This window comes from Homo sapiens, chromosome 15, assembly GCF_000001405.40.
Source record: "Homo sapiens chromosome 15, GRCh38.p14 Primary Assembly".
In the NCBI taxonomy this organism is placed as follows: Eukaryota; Metazoa; Chordata; class Mammalia; order Primates; family Hominidae; genus Homo; species Homo sapiens.
This window is the reverse complement of record NC_000015.10, coordinates 41686640-41702610: the sequence shown is the minus strand read 5'-3', so window position 1 is coordinate 41702610 and position 15971 is coordinate 41686640. Positions and strand designations below refer to the sequence as shown.

Sequence of the window (15971 nt, the reverse complement as noted above, 5' to 3'; positions counted from 1 at the left end):
TAAAGCAAATTCAAAAAGCTTTTCTAGTTTTTCAAGGGTTTTCAGCTCAGAAGAAGTTTAACTGCTATTTTCTAATTAATGAAATTATAGTTAATAGCAGGACAAGGAAATATGACATTAAGTTGAAATTCAACAAATTATTTCAAGAATCAAATTTTAGAGATGAACCTGGAATACTTTCATTCTCTTCAGAGCCCTGGGATTGGCATCACCCAGTTAATACAAATATTTAGCCAAATTAACTTACTCTTCAGAAACTGTTTAAGTCCAGCTTTTTTTTTTTTTTTTGAGACAATGTCTCACTGTGTCGCCCAGGCTGGAGTGTGGTGGCGCGATCTCGGCTCACTGCAAGCTCCGCCTCCCGGGTTTTCAAGCAATTCTCCTGCCTCAGCCTCCCAAGTAGCTGGGATTGCAGGTGCTCACCACCACACCTGGCTAATTTTTTGTATTTTTAGTAGAGACGGAGTTTCGCCACGTTGGCCAGGCTAGTCTCGAACTCCCAACCTCAAGTGATCCACCCGCCTTGGCCTCTCAAAGTGCTGGGATTACAGACTTGAGCCACCGAGCCTGGCCCAAGTATGGCTTTTTAAAGGAAGCCAAGGTTGGGGAGAAAAATATGCTAAAATAAAATAGAGGAAAAAAAACCCAAAACAGGACTCCACTTCACACATTGAAAAGTAAGTACCAGACAGATTACAGATTTAATTGTTTTTCAAAAAAACAAAACTGTGTCAGCATGTAGTTGAATAAATTTTAAAAACCTTAGGATTAAATACAAACTTGCACCAAATGTAGAATCTATAAAGAAGGTGAAAAGTAATAGCTCAGACACCTTTTGTTTGGCTGTGTTTTTAAAGCTTTGAGTTAGGTGCCCAAAAAACTATTAGCTGCCACCACTTCAGAGACATCACATAGCCACTCCAGCTTCTACTGAACTATGAGCAGACCTGAGAATTTTGGGCCCATTTTTCCATATGACAACAATCCACTGATGCAGCTGTCCCTTTAGAAGAAGTGCCTGTACTCTACCCGACCAGAGTCCAACTCTACCCCCCAAATTCAGGCTAATTTCACTATATATGTTACCTAGTCAGTTTCCATAAACACTGGCCTTTGAACACCCCATTCCATTAAGGAAACGATTACAAATTTGACTAAGATGTCTATAAAAGAAAGAAAAACAGTCAAAGCTTAGCCAACCAGCAAATACTAGGCAAATAAACCAGAGCAAAAGGACCAGCTGCAAGCACTGAATATATTTAACTCTAGAACTAAGATTTTTAAAATGTGGGAGATTAAGTTAAAAGAACACAATATAAATGTCATAATATTTCTACATTATCAAGAAAATAACAAAAAAAATGGAAGTGGAAAAGGGAGAAGACAGGTTAAGTTAAAGATAGGGAGAAATGAAGAAAGGAAAAGGGGAGAAAAAAAGATAGGGAGAAATAAGATAATATTATTTAAATAAAATAGCAGAAGCTAAAGCTGACAATAAACAGCAGCAAACGTTATCTGCAAGATTGCTATGATGTGACTGTCTATTACAATCCACAGCAATCAGCCCACATTGATTGACTGAGACTGGGATCTGCACACTTTTAAGATCGCACTGTCACACAAGCTGCCTTCCATTAAAGCAAAAATTCTTCAAGTATTACCATTTGATTTAGAAACGGAATGACCAGCATATAAATCTTTTGTTTGATAACTTATAATGTTTAGACTCTCAGGTAAATGAACTACTTATAGTGTAAATAGTCTAGACACCCTTCTGAAAATTAATGAGTCAAAAATTCAAAAAACTACTCCAAGATGCCTATCTAAAATCAAAGATAGTCGTAAGAAACTAAAAATTGGGGCACAGCCTAAAATTTTTCATTACACCCCAAAACAGGAAAATTGGTAGTGATCATGATGTTAATAACCATAGTAGATATGTTTTTTTAAAGATTAAGCAACATAATCAAGGTCAAGATAATGCATTACAATAAAATAAAGATAAAAATGAAAACTGCAGCCATAAAAAAGAATGAGTTCATGCCCTTTGCAGGGACATGGATGAAGCTGGAAGCCATTATTCTAAGCAAACTAACATAGGAACAGAAAACCAAACACTGCATGTTTTCACTCGTAAGTGGGAGATGAACAATGAGAACACATGGATGCAAGGAGGGGAACATCACACACCAGAGCCTGTTGGTGGGGAGGGAGAGCATTAGGACAAACACCTAATGCATGCAGGGCTTAAAACCTAGATGACAGGGCCGGGCGCGGTGGCTCACGCCTGTAATCTCAGCACTTTGGGAGGCCGAGGCGGGCAGATCATGAGGTCAGGAGATCGAGACCATCCTGGTTAACACAGTGAAACCCCGTCTCTACTAAAAATACAAAAAAAATTAGCCGGGCATGGTAGCAGGCGCCTGTAGTCCCAGCTACTTGGGAGGCTGAGGCAGGAGAGTGGTGTGAACCCAGGAGGCAGAGCTTGCAGTGAGCTGAGATCGTGCCACTGCACTCCAGCCTGGGCGAGAGCGAGACTGCGCATCAAAAAAAAAAAAAAAAAAAAAAACCTCGATGACAGGTTGATAGGTACAGGAAACCACCATAGCACATGTATAACTATGTAACCTGCACATTCTGTACACGTATCCCAGAACTCAAAGTAAAATTTTAAAAAAAAAAGATAATGAAAATTTTAAATTAACTTCCCAGTGGTACATCAAATATATAAAATAGATGTTTGCAGCCAAAACATGAGACAGAAAAGTATTCTACTGTTTACACACCTAAATATACTACTAAAGGACAAGGAAGACCCTTCCTCCAAAATTATAAAAACAAACACATAATTGGGAGGCCGAGGCGGGCGGATCACAAGGTCAGGAGATCAAGACCATCCTGGCTAACACGGTGAAACCGTCTCTACTAAAAATACAAAAAAATTAGCCAGGCGCGGTGGCAGGCGCCTGTGGTCCCAGCTACTTGGGAGGCTGAGGCAGGAGAATGGCATGAACCCAGGAGGCGGAGCTTGCAGTGAGCAGAGATTGCACCACTGCACTCCAGCCGCCTGGGCGACAGAGCGAAACTCCGTCTCAAACAAACACACACACACACACATAAACAAAAGCAACCAAATTAAGATGAGAAACGGGAAGGGGAGAATACCAGGTTATAAGAATGAACAAAGAAAATATCACTTGCTTTACCATGATACATTTTTTTCTTACATAAGATATTAGACATGGTTTTTAAACTAAAGGGAAGAATTATGGAGACAGAGAAGAGAAAAATATGCAAACTGAAAGACGTGCTGAAAGAAATGAAATCAAGGCTAGAAAGAAAGAGGAAAAAACAGAAAAAAAGAGATGAGAAAGAGAGAGGAAAAAGAGGAGAAACAGTAGGGAAGAAAGAAAAAAAGAAAACAAAAAAAAAGAAGTCGCTAGTCTATTACCTTCTTGAAGACCAGGATGTATCACCTGCTTGTGCCGCAAAGTCTTCAAATCTTCTATCAATTCCTTTTCCAACTGGGAAATTCTTGCTCTGTAACCTACACCCAAAATAAATAGTAATAAAATAAGCTACTGTACACTACAGACAAATGAATGTTGCATGTTTCATTGCTGGAGCCCAAACCACAAATACAACTCTTTTTATACTATTTTATAATACCTGAGTCATTTGTGGTTGATGCCTGGAGACTAGAAGATTCTTCTGTTGTCCCATCAACTGCATGAATGTCTAGAGCTTCCTATACATCAAAAAAAAAAAAAAATAGTAGTTCATATTGCTTCTGAAAACTTAAATGTAAAACAGGATTAAAAAAAACTTAAAGACCAGAAGGAAAATATCTCCATGCCTACAGTTACGCTAACATTGGCAGAACAGGAGCAATTTTTTCATACTTTTTGATATTTTCTAAGTGTTCTACATTAATATTACTTTAATAATCAGAAGGGGAAAAGGGGGAAGTAAAAAAATGTGAATACGATGTCATACTGAGCTAACTGACCTCAAAGTATACGCCAATTTGCATGTTCACTTCTCAGAGCCTATATTCAGATAGCTTACTCAGCTAACAAGAAGGGAGGAAAAGAACAGGTAGAAGGGATTAAATATCCAACATCTGTGTAGTCAATTAAGAAAGACAGCCTGGCACAGTGGCTCACGCCTATAATCCCAGCACTTTGGGAGGCCGAGGCAGGTGGATCACAAGGTCAGGAGATTGAGACCATCCTGGCCACATGGTGAAACCCTGTCTCTACTAAAATAAAAAAAATAGCTGGGCATGGTGATGCACACCTGTAGTCCCAGCTACTCGGGAGGCTGAGGCAGGGGAACTGCTTGAACCCGGGAAACAGAGGTTGCAGTGAGCCAAGATTGTGCCACTGCACTCCAGCTGGTGACAGAGCAAGATTCCGTCTCAAAAAAAAAAAAAAAAAGAGGCCAGGGGCAGTGGCTCACGCTTGTAATTCCAGCACTTTGGGAGGCTGAGGCAGGAGGATCACGAGGCCAGGAGATCGAGACCATCCTGGCTAATATGGTGAAACCCCGTCTCTACTAAAAATACAAAAAAAATTAGCCGGGCATGGTGGCGAGCACCTGTAGTCCCAGCTACTCGGGAGTCTGAGGCAGGGGAATGGCAAGAACACAGGAGGCGGAGTTTGCAGTGAGCCAAGATTGCGCTACTGCACTCCAGCATGAGCCACAGACCGAGACTCCATCTCAAAAAATAAATAAAAAAAGACTGGGCTTCTATAAAAATTTCCAAGAAAAATAATCTGGTTGAAGAGTCAGAGTGGAATAAACAGAGACTTCAATGTGTAAGACAGGAGAGTTAAGATGACTGTTAATATTTGGTTCTCCAATGGTACTCTACTACTACTACTGAAAACCAGGGCCAGGAGCGGTGGCTCATGCATGTAATCCCAGCACTTTGGGAGGCTGAAGCAGGCAGACTGCTGGAGGCCAGAAGTTAGAAATTAGCTGGCCAACATTGCAAAACCCCGTCTCTACCAAAATTACAAAAATTAGCTGGGTGTGGTGGCACACGCCTGTAATCCCAGCTACTCGTGAGGCTGGGGCACGAGAATGGCTTGAACTCGGGAGACGGAGATTGCAGTGAGCTGAGATCGTGCCACTGAACTCCAGCCTGGGCAACAGAGCAAGACTCTGTCTCAAAAAAAAAAAAAAAAGAAAAGAAAAATAAAAGAAAACCAGGAGGTAAAAGAAATGGAGCGTCACCAAAGAGTTAGTAAATATTTCATGTATTTTTAGTCCTTTCCAAAATCCATAATGATGAAAATTCCAGTAAGACCCGAAGACTTTTTTTAAACACAGCTATGCAAAAATCGTAAACTGAAATCTAAGCAAGACATACTTTTTTAAGTCTATTCAAATGAAGTATCTTAAGTTATTCCTATTAACTAAACCAAACATTTTGGAGACACTTCCCTCCCAACTCCACCCCCCATACACCCTCACAAATAGATATCACAAAACTAGATTGTAAATCGAGTTACTTACAAGCCAGTATACAATTCAAGTATGACTAATTAGCCTTAAAGAATCCTGAAAATTACAATCTTACCTTTGATTCAAAGGAAACAAAGAGAACACCATCCACATCTTCCAGATCAGGCTTCACATCTGGAAAGGTACTCCCAGGGCTTACAGGTGTATTCTTTGTAGAAATTAAAGACTTTCCTGTGTTCTTAGGTGGTCGTCCTGCCTTACAGAGTTTCAATTTTCGTGGCCTTCCTCTTTTTCCAGGGACATTTGGAGAGGCATTCTGATTAGCATTCACTACCTTTGCGGCTGTTGCAATCTTAAGCATAGTTGTTCTCTTTCTGCCCAAGTCCTCTTTTCCTGAAAGTGAGTCTCCAACTGAATCCTTTGAATCGTCGAGTATTCTTTCTGTGCTAATGCTGTCAGATATATCAGGATATTTCCACTGAGGCTCTTTCAGTAAGGGATATTTTTGTACCACTCTGAGATCTGGTGAATGTTTTCTAAGACCATTTTCTGATTCCTTGCCTAAGCAGAAGGCAGTCTCATTGGAATTTTCAATGTATGTAGGCAAATATTCCAATTCTGCCAACATAGAAGATTTATCCTTTCGAGATGTGGAAAGCATGTTATCGGGGAGTTCAGAAATCTTAACTGTGCTTCTGGTGACAGCACAGGGCTCCAGATAGACTACTGGCATCTTTCCAGTGTCTAATTTGAACATTTTAGCTTTAGCAACACCTGATGGGCTGCTTGGAAGCCATTTAGAAGATAGATGGTCAGCTTCTGGGTTGTCAACTTTATTGTGCCTCTTTAGCTGTTTCTCTAGTATAGGATCATCATCACTGTTTGAGTATACATCCGTCTCTTCATCTGTCTCTTCCTGTTTCACAGTGACCCCTTCTGGGCACTCACCAAGTTCGTAGTCATAATCATCTAGAGGTTCCTCTTTAATAACAACATTGAAGCTTCCGTTCTGGTCTAACGGTGAGGCTACACGGGAGTCATCTTCAAAACTGCTGGCAATAAGACTGGAGAGAGAGAGGAGAAAGGGATTTTAAAAGTACAAAATGATCCATTAACAAGACTTGAAGAGAAAAAAAAAAAAAGATGTTAGGAATCCAAGTAACACATCAGATTTCCTGAGCCATTCCTCAAAAACACTCAAAAACTCTAAAAATCCACACGGTGATTAACAACCCTGTAAAGCGAACACACATCCATCACAACTAAGAATTGCAACACAAACCGGAAAGGGCCATTAAACTGCCAGCTGATATTTTCCTGTATGTTTTGAGATTAAATTCACATAACATAAAACATAATATTGCAGCAATTTTAGAGTATACAATTCATTGGTTTTTAGTATAGTCATGATGTTGCCAGATGATTTTCCAACTTTAAAATTGAAAAACTCACTTTCAATATAAAGAATTCACCACTAATTCTTCCAAAATAAAAGATAGGGAGTTAAAGGCAAATACGTATGACCCAGATATATTGTGTATAATTCATCCAAAAACAACATAAACATCTAGTTTCCCCCTCCTCCCAATCATCCATTGAAAGCCTAAGAACTGTACCAATGTATCTTGAGAATATGGTAGAAATAAAAAATTGGGCAGGAGCGATGGCTCACGCCTGTAATCCCACTACTTTGGGAGGCTGAGGCAGGCGGATCACAAGGTCAAGAGATTGAGACCATTCTGGCCAACATGGTGAAACCCCATCTCTACTAAAAATACAAAAATTAGCTCAGCGTGGTAGCACATGCCAGTAGTCCCAGCTACTCAAGAGGCTGAGGCAGAATAATCGCTTGAACCCGGGAGGCGGAGGTTGCAGAGAGCCGAGATTGTGCCACTGCCTCCAGCCTGGCGACAGAGCAAGACCCTGTGTCAAAAAAGAAAAAAAAAAAAAAGATTCCACATAAAGTAATGACGAATTAAAATTCTCAGACTCAGAAATTCTAAAACTGCACCTCTCATTTCCCCCCACCTCAAAATATCCATACAAGTCAACACGTTAGCAGCACAGGAAAGCAGGATGAAAACTGCTTTGAGAAAAACTATACACACCACTATATATATTCACTAACAAATAACATGTAACAAAGGATTGTGGGCATTTTTTTTTAAATAGTTCAAAGCCTATGACTGAAAACAGCATTTATAGCCAGGCATGGTGGCACACGCCTGTAGTACCAGCTATTCAGAAGACTGAGGTGCCAGGACTGCTTGTGCCCAGGAGTTCGAGGCTGCAGTGAGCTACAATTGCACCACTGAATTAAACCCTGGAGCCGGGCGCAGTGGCTCACGCCTGTAATCCCAGTGCTTTGGGAGGCCGAGGCAGGTGGATCACGAGGTCAGGAGATCAAGACCATCCTGGCTAACACGGTGCTAAAAATACAAAAAATCAGCTGGGCGTGGTGGCGGGCGCCTGTAGTCCCAGCTACTCGGGAGGCTGAGGCAGGAGAATGGTGTGAACCTGGGAGGCGGAGCTTGCAGTGAGCCGAGATCGTGCCACTGCACTCCAGCCTGGGCAACTGAGCAAGACTCCGTCTCAAAAAAAAAAAAGAAAAAAAGCCTGGGCAACAGAGCAGGATGCCTCCTCTAAAATAAATAAACAAAAAATTTAAAATTTCAAAAATAAGAAAACAGCATTTACACAACTAAAATATTTTCTTCTGATCAGTCACTTTTTTTTTCCCTGAGATGGGGTCTTGCTCTGTCACCCAGGCTGGAGTACAGTGGCAACCTCCACCTCCAAGGTTCAAACAATTCTCCTGCCTTGGCCTCCCGAACAGCTGTGATTATAGGCATGCACCAACACGCCCGGCTAATTTTTGTATTTTTAGTAGAGATAGGGTTTTACCATGTTGGCCAGGCTGGTCTCGAACTCCTAACCTCGTGATCCGCCCACCTCAGCCTCCCAAAGTGTTGGGATTACAGGTGTGAGCCACCACGCCCGGCCCAGTCACTTTTTAAAAAGTTAGGTAGGTAGGTTTCCATTAATAGTGTGAAATAGCTCAGAGCAGACTGACCCTCCTCCACTTAGAACTAGAAAAGTTACACTAAACAGTTTTTTCCCCCCAGAATATTTCTTAAAATCTAAGAAATATTTTCTTAGATTTCTTGCAGAAATCACTGCAAGGCAGTGATTTGAGGGGCAAAATCACAAGAAAAGGCAATAAAATTAAATATCCCCAATAATCGAGACACTTTCACATCCATTACTTTTATTACTGAATTTATCTTCCTAAAATATTGAACTATATTGACGTTACTTGCCTGTCCAAAAGCATTTCAAAGGCTTCTGAAACTAAAGAAAAAAGTATAAATATCTGGGATGCTTTTCTAAGCCCAATATAATTTATCCTCAGCCATTTCAGCCTCATCTTAAACAATAACCTGCAGTATACTCCATAGGATCCAATCACACAGAAAATATTACATTAGTGTCTCAGTCCAATAAAATACATTTTCAACACCAAGCCATCATTAATGAAGTACTATTTTTTTCACTACTTGCTAACCCAGTGTCTTCATAAAACTTTATAAAACTTAAAATAGGCACAAGCAACCATTACATGAATGTGTAGTTACTTGTTCCTTGCACAATTTCTACTTAAGATTTTAACCTTACTTGAAAATCCTCCATCATCATTCTCAGTAAACTATCACAAGAACGAAAAACCAAACACCGCATATTCTCACTCATAGGTGGGAATTGAACAATGAGAACGCATGGACACAGAAAGGGGAACATCACACTTTGGGGACTGTTGTGGGGTGGGGGGAGGGGGGAGGGATAGCATTGGGAGATATACCTAATGCTAGATGACGAGTTAGTGGGTGCAGTGCACCAGCATGGCACATGTATACATATGTAACTAACCTGCACATTGTGCACATGTACCCTAAAACTTCAAGTATAATAATAATAAAAAAAAGAAAATCCTCCAATAGAAGCCGGGTGTGGTGGCTCGTGCCTGTAATCCTAACACTTTGGGAGGCCGAGGCAGGCAGACTGCCTGAGCTCAGGAGTTTGAGACCACTCTGGGGGCAACATGGTGAAACCTCATCTGTACTAAAATATTTTTTAAAAAATTGGCTGGGCGCAGTGGCTCACGCCTATAATCCTAGCACTTTGGGAGGCTGATGCAGGTGGACTACCTGAGGTCAGGAGTTCAACATGGTAAAACCCCGTCTCTACTAAAAATACAAAACATTAGCTGGATGCAGTGGCACACACCTGTAATCCCAGCTACTCGGGAGGCTGAGGCTGGAAAATCGCTTGAAACCAGGAGGCAGAGGTTGCAGTGAGCCAAGATCGCACCACTGCACTCCAGCCTGGGTGACAGAGTGAGACTCCGTCTCAAAAAAAGAAAAAGGAAATCCTCCAATGGAAGATTTCCACCTCCAGTTAGAATGTGGAAGATCACAAAATATCATCACTTTTGCCATAACCATGAGAAAACACTAAATTATTTTTCTTACAAGATACTGAAGACCTCTAGACATAAATAAGCCTAAATGAAGTGAATTACAGAAGAAGATCAGCCTTCTCTAGGTGACCGGAGATAGCTACTGCTTTCAACCCTAAGCAGCATTTGCACTGTGTGAAGATACAGTAAGGAGAGAAAAAAGCAACTATAGGCAAAGGATCTTTGCAAAAACACAGAGAAACCAACTTTTAATGCCCGAGCATGGGCAGAATCTCGAGGACCCCAAATAGGAAACTAGTCCTCACTGCTGTCCAATTACCACCCCCTCCAGAGGACTTCTGCAGAACAAACAGCAGTGCCGCAGAAAGGCTGGCCTGGAAATAAGAGAACATGTAGTCTACCAATGCTTAGGTCCTAAGGTCCTGCCAGGGATAGGAGACCAACCACTCCTCCCTTGACACAGCTGAAACGAGAGGTGAGCTGAAATTTACTAAAATAGGAAGCCACTTGAAATCACCTAGACTGAAGGACAGAGAAACAAACAAAACAAAACAAAACAAAAAAGTGTCAGAGATCTCTGGGACAACATAAAATGATCTAACATACTAGTAACTGCCCTGCCAAAAAGACAAGAGAAACAAAGTGAAGAAATACTTGAAGAGAAAATGAACAAAAATCTTCCAAAAGCAAAAGATTTTAACCCACAGATCCAAGAAGCTCAGTAAGCAACAATGGGGACGAATAGAAGGAAAAAAAAAAAGTCATATCTAGGCACATCAAGGTCAGGCTGCTGAAAATGAAAGATGAAGAGAAAAATACTGAAAGCAGCAGAGGGAAAAACAGACATTACACTGGAGGAACAACAAAGAGAACAACAGACTGACTAGTGACTCAATGGAAACTATGTAAGTCAGAAGACAATATACTTTACCGCCAATCATGAAGTGTTGAAAGAAAAACTAATGTTCTATACCTACCAAAAGAAGCCTTTAAAATTGAAGACATTTTCAGACAGCTGAGATCATTCAGATTGCATAAAAATACTCCTCAGCTCTCAAATAAGACAAATATATCAGTTCTTGCCACGTCTACTTACTTGTACTAGAGATTCTATCAGGATGATTAGGCAAGAAAAAGAAATAAAAGGCATCCAGATTGTAGAGGAAAAAGCAAAACTATCTCTATTCACAGGTAAATGATCTTGTATATGGAAAATACTAAAGAATCCACTAAAAAACTATTAGAACTAATAAATCAGTTTAGCAAGATTCCAGGATCCAAGACACACACACACACAAATTGTTTTTCTACAAACTAGCAATGAATGTCAAAAGTGAAATGAGGAAGTAATTCCATTTTACAATAGCATCAACAAGAATAAAATATTTAGGAATAAATTTAACAAAAGAAGTTTAAGACTTATACATGGAAAACTATAAAACACTGTTGAAACAAATTAAAGACCAAAATAAATAGAAAAATATCCCACGTTTATGGACAAAAAATATTTCATATTGGTAAAACAGCAATAATCCCTAAAGTGATCTACAAATTCAATGCAGTATCTACCAAAACTCCATCTGTGATTTTTTTTTTCAGAAAGGGACAAACTGACCCTAAAATTCACAAGAAAATGCAAGGGAGCCACCAAAAAAAAAAAAAAAAAACAAAGCAATCTTGAAAATTAGAAACAAAGTTCTCAGAGGACTCACACTTCCAGGTTTCAGCTTAGTACAAAGCTACAGTAATTAAGACAGTGTGTCTATTAGTTTGGTTTGGTTTTGAGACAAGGTCCCACTGTGTCACCTAGGCTAGAGTGCAATGGTGCAATCATACCTCACTGCAACCTCAAATTCCTGGAAACAAGTGATCCTCCCACTTTAGCCTCTCGAGTAGCTGGGACTACAGACACATACCACCACACCACTCAGCTATTATTTTTATTTTTTTGTAGAGACAGGTTCTCTTTAGTAGAGACAGGGTTTCACCATGTTGACCAGGCTGGTCTCAAACTCCTGGGCTCAAGCTATCCTACTGCCTTGGCCTCCCAAAGTGCTGAGATTTTAAGCATGATCCACCGTGCCCAGTCAACAGTGTGATATTGACATTAAGACTAGATATACAGATCAACTAACAGAATTGAGAGTCCAGAAATAAATGCCCACATTTATGTCAACTGATTCAATTGCCAAGGTGCCAAGACAATTCAAGAGAGGAAAGAATGGTCTTTTCAACACCAAAAAACTGTGTTCACGCAAAGACTTGTATACAAATGTTCACAGCAACATTATTCGTAACAGCCAAAAACTAAAAACCTTACTGTCCAACTGATGAATAAAAAAAATGTGGTAATGTCCACACAATATTATTTGACAATAAAAAGAAACGAAGTACAGATACATGCTACACATGGATGAACCTTAAAAACATCAAGCTAAGTAAAACAAGCCAGGCACAAAAGACCACATATTAAATGATTCCATTTATATAAAATATCCAAAATAGGCAAATCTACAGAGACAGAGACAGGTGGTTGTGTTGGATTGGGTGGAGCTGGGGAGTGGTTGAGGGAAAATGGGAAGTTACTTTTAATGGGTTTTCTTTCTGGGGTGCTGGTAATGTCCTAAAACTGACTGCAGCACTGAAGTAACGGTTGTGCAATCCTGTGAATATATTAAAAACCATTGAACTCTACACTTTCAGTTGGTAGGTGAATTTTATGTAGATTTTATTGTATGTGAATTATATCTCAATTTTTAAAGTTTTTAAAAAATAACTATTAAAGGAAGTTCTTCAGACTGTTAGAAAATGAAACAATATGGGCCAGGTGTGGTGGCTGAGGCTGAGGTGGACAGATCACTTGAGGCCAGGAGTTCAAGACCAGCCTGGCCTACATGGCAAAACCCTGTCTCTACTAAAAATACAAAAATTAGTCGGGTGTGGTGGTGCATACCTGTAGTCCCAGCTACTCAGGAGGCTAAAGCAGGAAAATCACCTGAACCTGGTAGGCAGAGGTTGCAGTGAGCTGAGATCACATCACTGCACTCCAGCCTGGGTGACAGAGTGAGACTCTATCTCAAAAAAAAGAAAAAAAAAAAAGAAAAAGAAAATGAACCAAAATAAACACAGATCCAGAAACAGATGAAAACAAATAAATAAATACGTAAATATAAAAGACTTTTCTTATATTATTTAAATGACTACTGACTTTTTTTATTTTTAAGGAGAGAAGGAGAGAGGGAAAGAGGAGAAAGAGAGGGAGAGAGAAAGAAAAGGAGAGAAGGAGAAAGGGAGAAAGGAAGGGAGGAAGGAGGAGGGAGAAGAGAGGGAGAGAGGTAGGGAGAGAAAGGAAGAGGGAGAGAGGGTAAGGGAAGGCAAGAGAGGATGAGAGCGAGCCACAGAGAGAGGGAGAGGGTACACACCAACTACTGACTGTTTAAAGCAAATAAAGTAACAAGGTTTAGAGGCTTATATCACATAGAAGGACATCAAATATAAGTGCATTAGCAGTTCATTATTCAAATTATATTCAATAAATTAAGGATGCACATTGTAATCCATATAACACTGCTATATACTGAATTGTGTCCCCCACCAAATTTGTATGTGGAAGCCCAAACAGGGCTTTAGGAGAAAATTAGGGTTAAAAGAGGTTTTAAGGGTAGGACTCTAATCCAACAGGATGGTGGGCTTATAAGAAGAGGAAGAGAGACATCCCCCGCTCCCCCCATGTGTGGACATAATAAGAAAGCAGCTATATATGTATACAAGCCAAGATGAGACATGAGAAACCAAACCCTGCCAGAACTTTGATCTTGGACTTTCTAGCCTCCAGAACTGTGAAAAAAATAAAACTTCTGTTGCTTAAGCCAGCCAATCTACGATATTTTGTTATGGCAGCCTGAGTAGACAAATGCAACCACTAAAAAAATTACAAAGAGGTAATTTTTATATAAATGGAATTTGAAAAGCTCAATCCACACAAAAACAGGGAAAGATAAACAGATAAGAGAAGCAGGAAATAGCAAGATGACATGGTTAAAACTCAGCTACATAAGTAATGGCATTAAATGTAAATGAACAAAACAGTCCAATTAAAAGCCAAAGGTTAAAACAGTGGATAAAGAAACAAGTCCAACTATCAGCTATTTAAAAGAGTCGCAATGTAAATTCAAGGAAGAAGAATTAAAGTACAAGGAGGGAAAAAGATAAACCATGCAAAAACTTATTAGAAGGAAACCAATATGGCTCAATAACATCAAACAAAGTAGACTTTAAAATAAGGAGTTTTAGGCTGGGCACGGTGGCTCATGTCTATAATCTCAGCACTCTGGTAGGCAGGTGGATCACCTGAGCTCAGGAGTTCAAGACCAGCCTGGGCAACACAGTGAAACCCCATCTCTACTAAAATACAAAAAATTAGGTTGGCATGGCAGTGTGTGCCAGTAATCACAGCTACTTGGGAAGCTGAGGCAGGAGAATCGCTTGAACCCGGGAGGCAGATGTTGCAGTGAGCCAACATCGCACCACTGCACTCCAGCCTCAGTGACAGAGCGAGGTTCCATCTCAAAATAAAATAGTTTTATCAGAGATAAAGAGGCACATAATTAAAATTTTGAGTTCAATTAACCAAGAAAACATAAACAACCCTAGAAGTATATGTACCTAATCATATATTAGCTTCAAAGTATTTGAAGCAAAAATCTATAGTACCAAAAAGAGAAACAGACAAATCCACAAATACGGTGGGAGATTTTAACCCATCTTTCTCAGTAACTGACATTAAAAAAATCAGGACAGAAGAACTGAATAACACTATCAATCAAACTTACTTGATAAGCCTTTATAGAATATTATATCCAACAACTGTACAATACACACATCCTTTTCAAGTATACATGAAGTATCAATCAGAAACAGATGACACCCTAGACAATAAAGCAAACCCTTGATAATTTCCAAAGGTTTTAAGCCATATGTTCTTTGACAACAACGGAATCAAACTACAAATCAGTAACAAACTTATCAACATACCAAATGTGTAGAATGTACCTAAAGTAGTGCTCAAGAGTCAAACGAATAGTTTAAAATACATACAAATGAAAAAGTCTAAAATCAATTATCTAAGACAGGAGTTGATCATTTTTTTCTGTAAAGGGCTAAACAGTAAAAATTTTAGGCTTTGCATTCCATACAGTCTCTACTGCAACTACTCAAGCTACAGACAATACATAAACAAAATAAAATAAATACAAATACAAAATACAAATACAAAAGACAAGCATGACTGTCTTCCAAAAAACAGGACACTGAAATTTGAACTTTAATTTTCACATCACAAATAACTATTTTTTTTCCCCAATCACTGAAAACTGTTAAAAATCATTCTTAGCTTACAAGCCAAGTAAAAACCAACGGTAGGCACATATGATCCATGGGTCTTAGTCCACCAAACCCTAATCTAAGGCAAATTAAACCAAAAACAAGTAGAACAAAGGAGTTAATGATGAGAGAAAAATCAATGAAATAGAAAAAAACAAAGAACTTGAAGTCATGATTTGAATTCTGCCAACAAGAAAACTCTGTGGCTTCACTGATAAATTCTATCAAATACATAATGAAAAAAAAAACAGCAATCTTGCACAAACTCAGCACATACAGAAAACAGAACACTTTGCAACGTGTTTTATGAGGTAACCATAACCCTACTGCTAACACATCAGAAATAAAACTATAAACAAATATCCCACATGAATTTGGTGCAAAAATCCTCAATAAAATATTAGCAAATTGAAACCAGTAATATTAAAAAGGATGATATCATCATGGCCAGGTAATGTTTAGCCCAAGAATGTAAGATCACCCCTCCCCTCTAAATCAATGTTAATTCACCATATTAACAAAATAAAGGAGAAAAAACATATGGTATTTCAATGGATTTAGAAAAATCATTTGATGAAATTCAACACTCATTCTTAACAATATTCAGGAAAATGGGTAACAGTAGGAAAGTATTTCAACA

At 39.3% G+C, this 15971-nt stretch overlaps 1 protein-coding gene and 1 non-coding gene across 50 annotated transcripts in view; both read right to left on the bottom strand.

Moving 5' to 3' along the window:
* MGA (MAX dimerization protein MGA) overlaps positions 1–15971 on the bottom strand; it is a 148717-nt gene that overhangs the window by 67330 nt on the left and 65416 nt on the right. For all 49 annotated transcript variants that reach the window (XM_017022029.3, XM_047432300.1, XM_047432302.1 and 46 more), the window contains 3 exons: positions 5588–6536; positions 3670–3748; positions 3452–3547 (listed from right to left, as the gene is read on the bottom strand). In XM_017022029.3, coding sequence (XP_016877518.1) covers positions 3452–3547; positions 3670–3748; positions 5588–6229 — 817 coding nt within the window. In that variant the 5' untranslated portion in view covers positions 6230–6536. The remainder of the gene's footprint in view (positions 1–3451; positions 3548–3669; positions 3749–5587; positions 6537–15971) is intronic.
* MIR626 (microRNA 626) lies at positions 10933–11026 on the bottom strand. The gene has a single exon (NR_030356.1). It is a non-coding gene; the product is annotated as a microRNA 626 (primary transcript).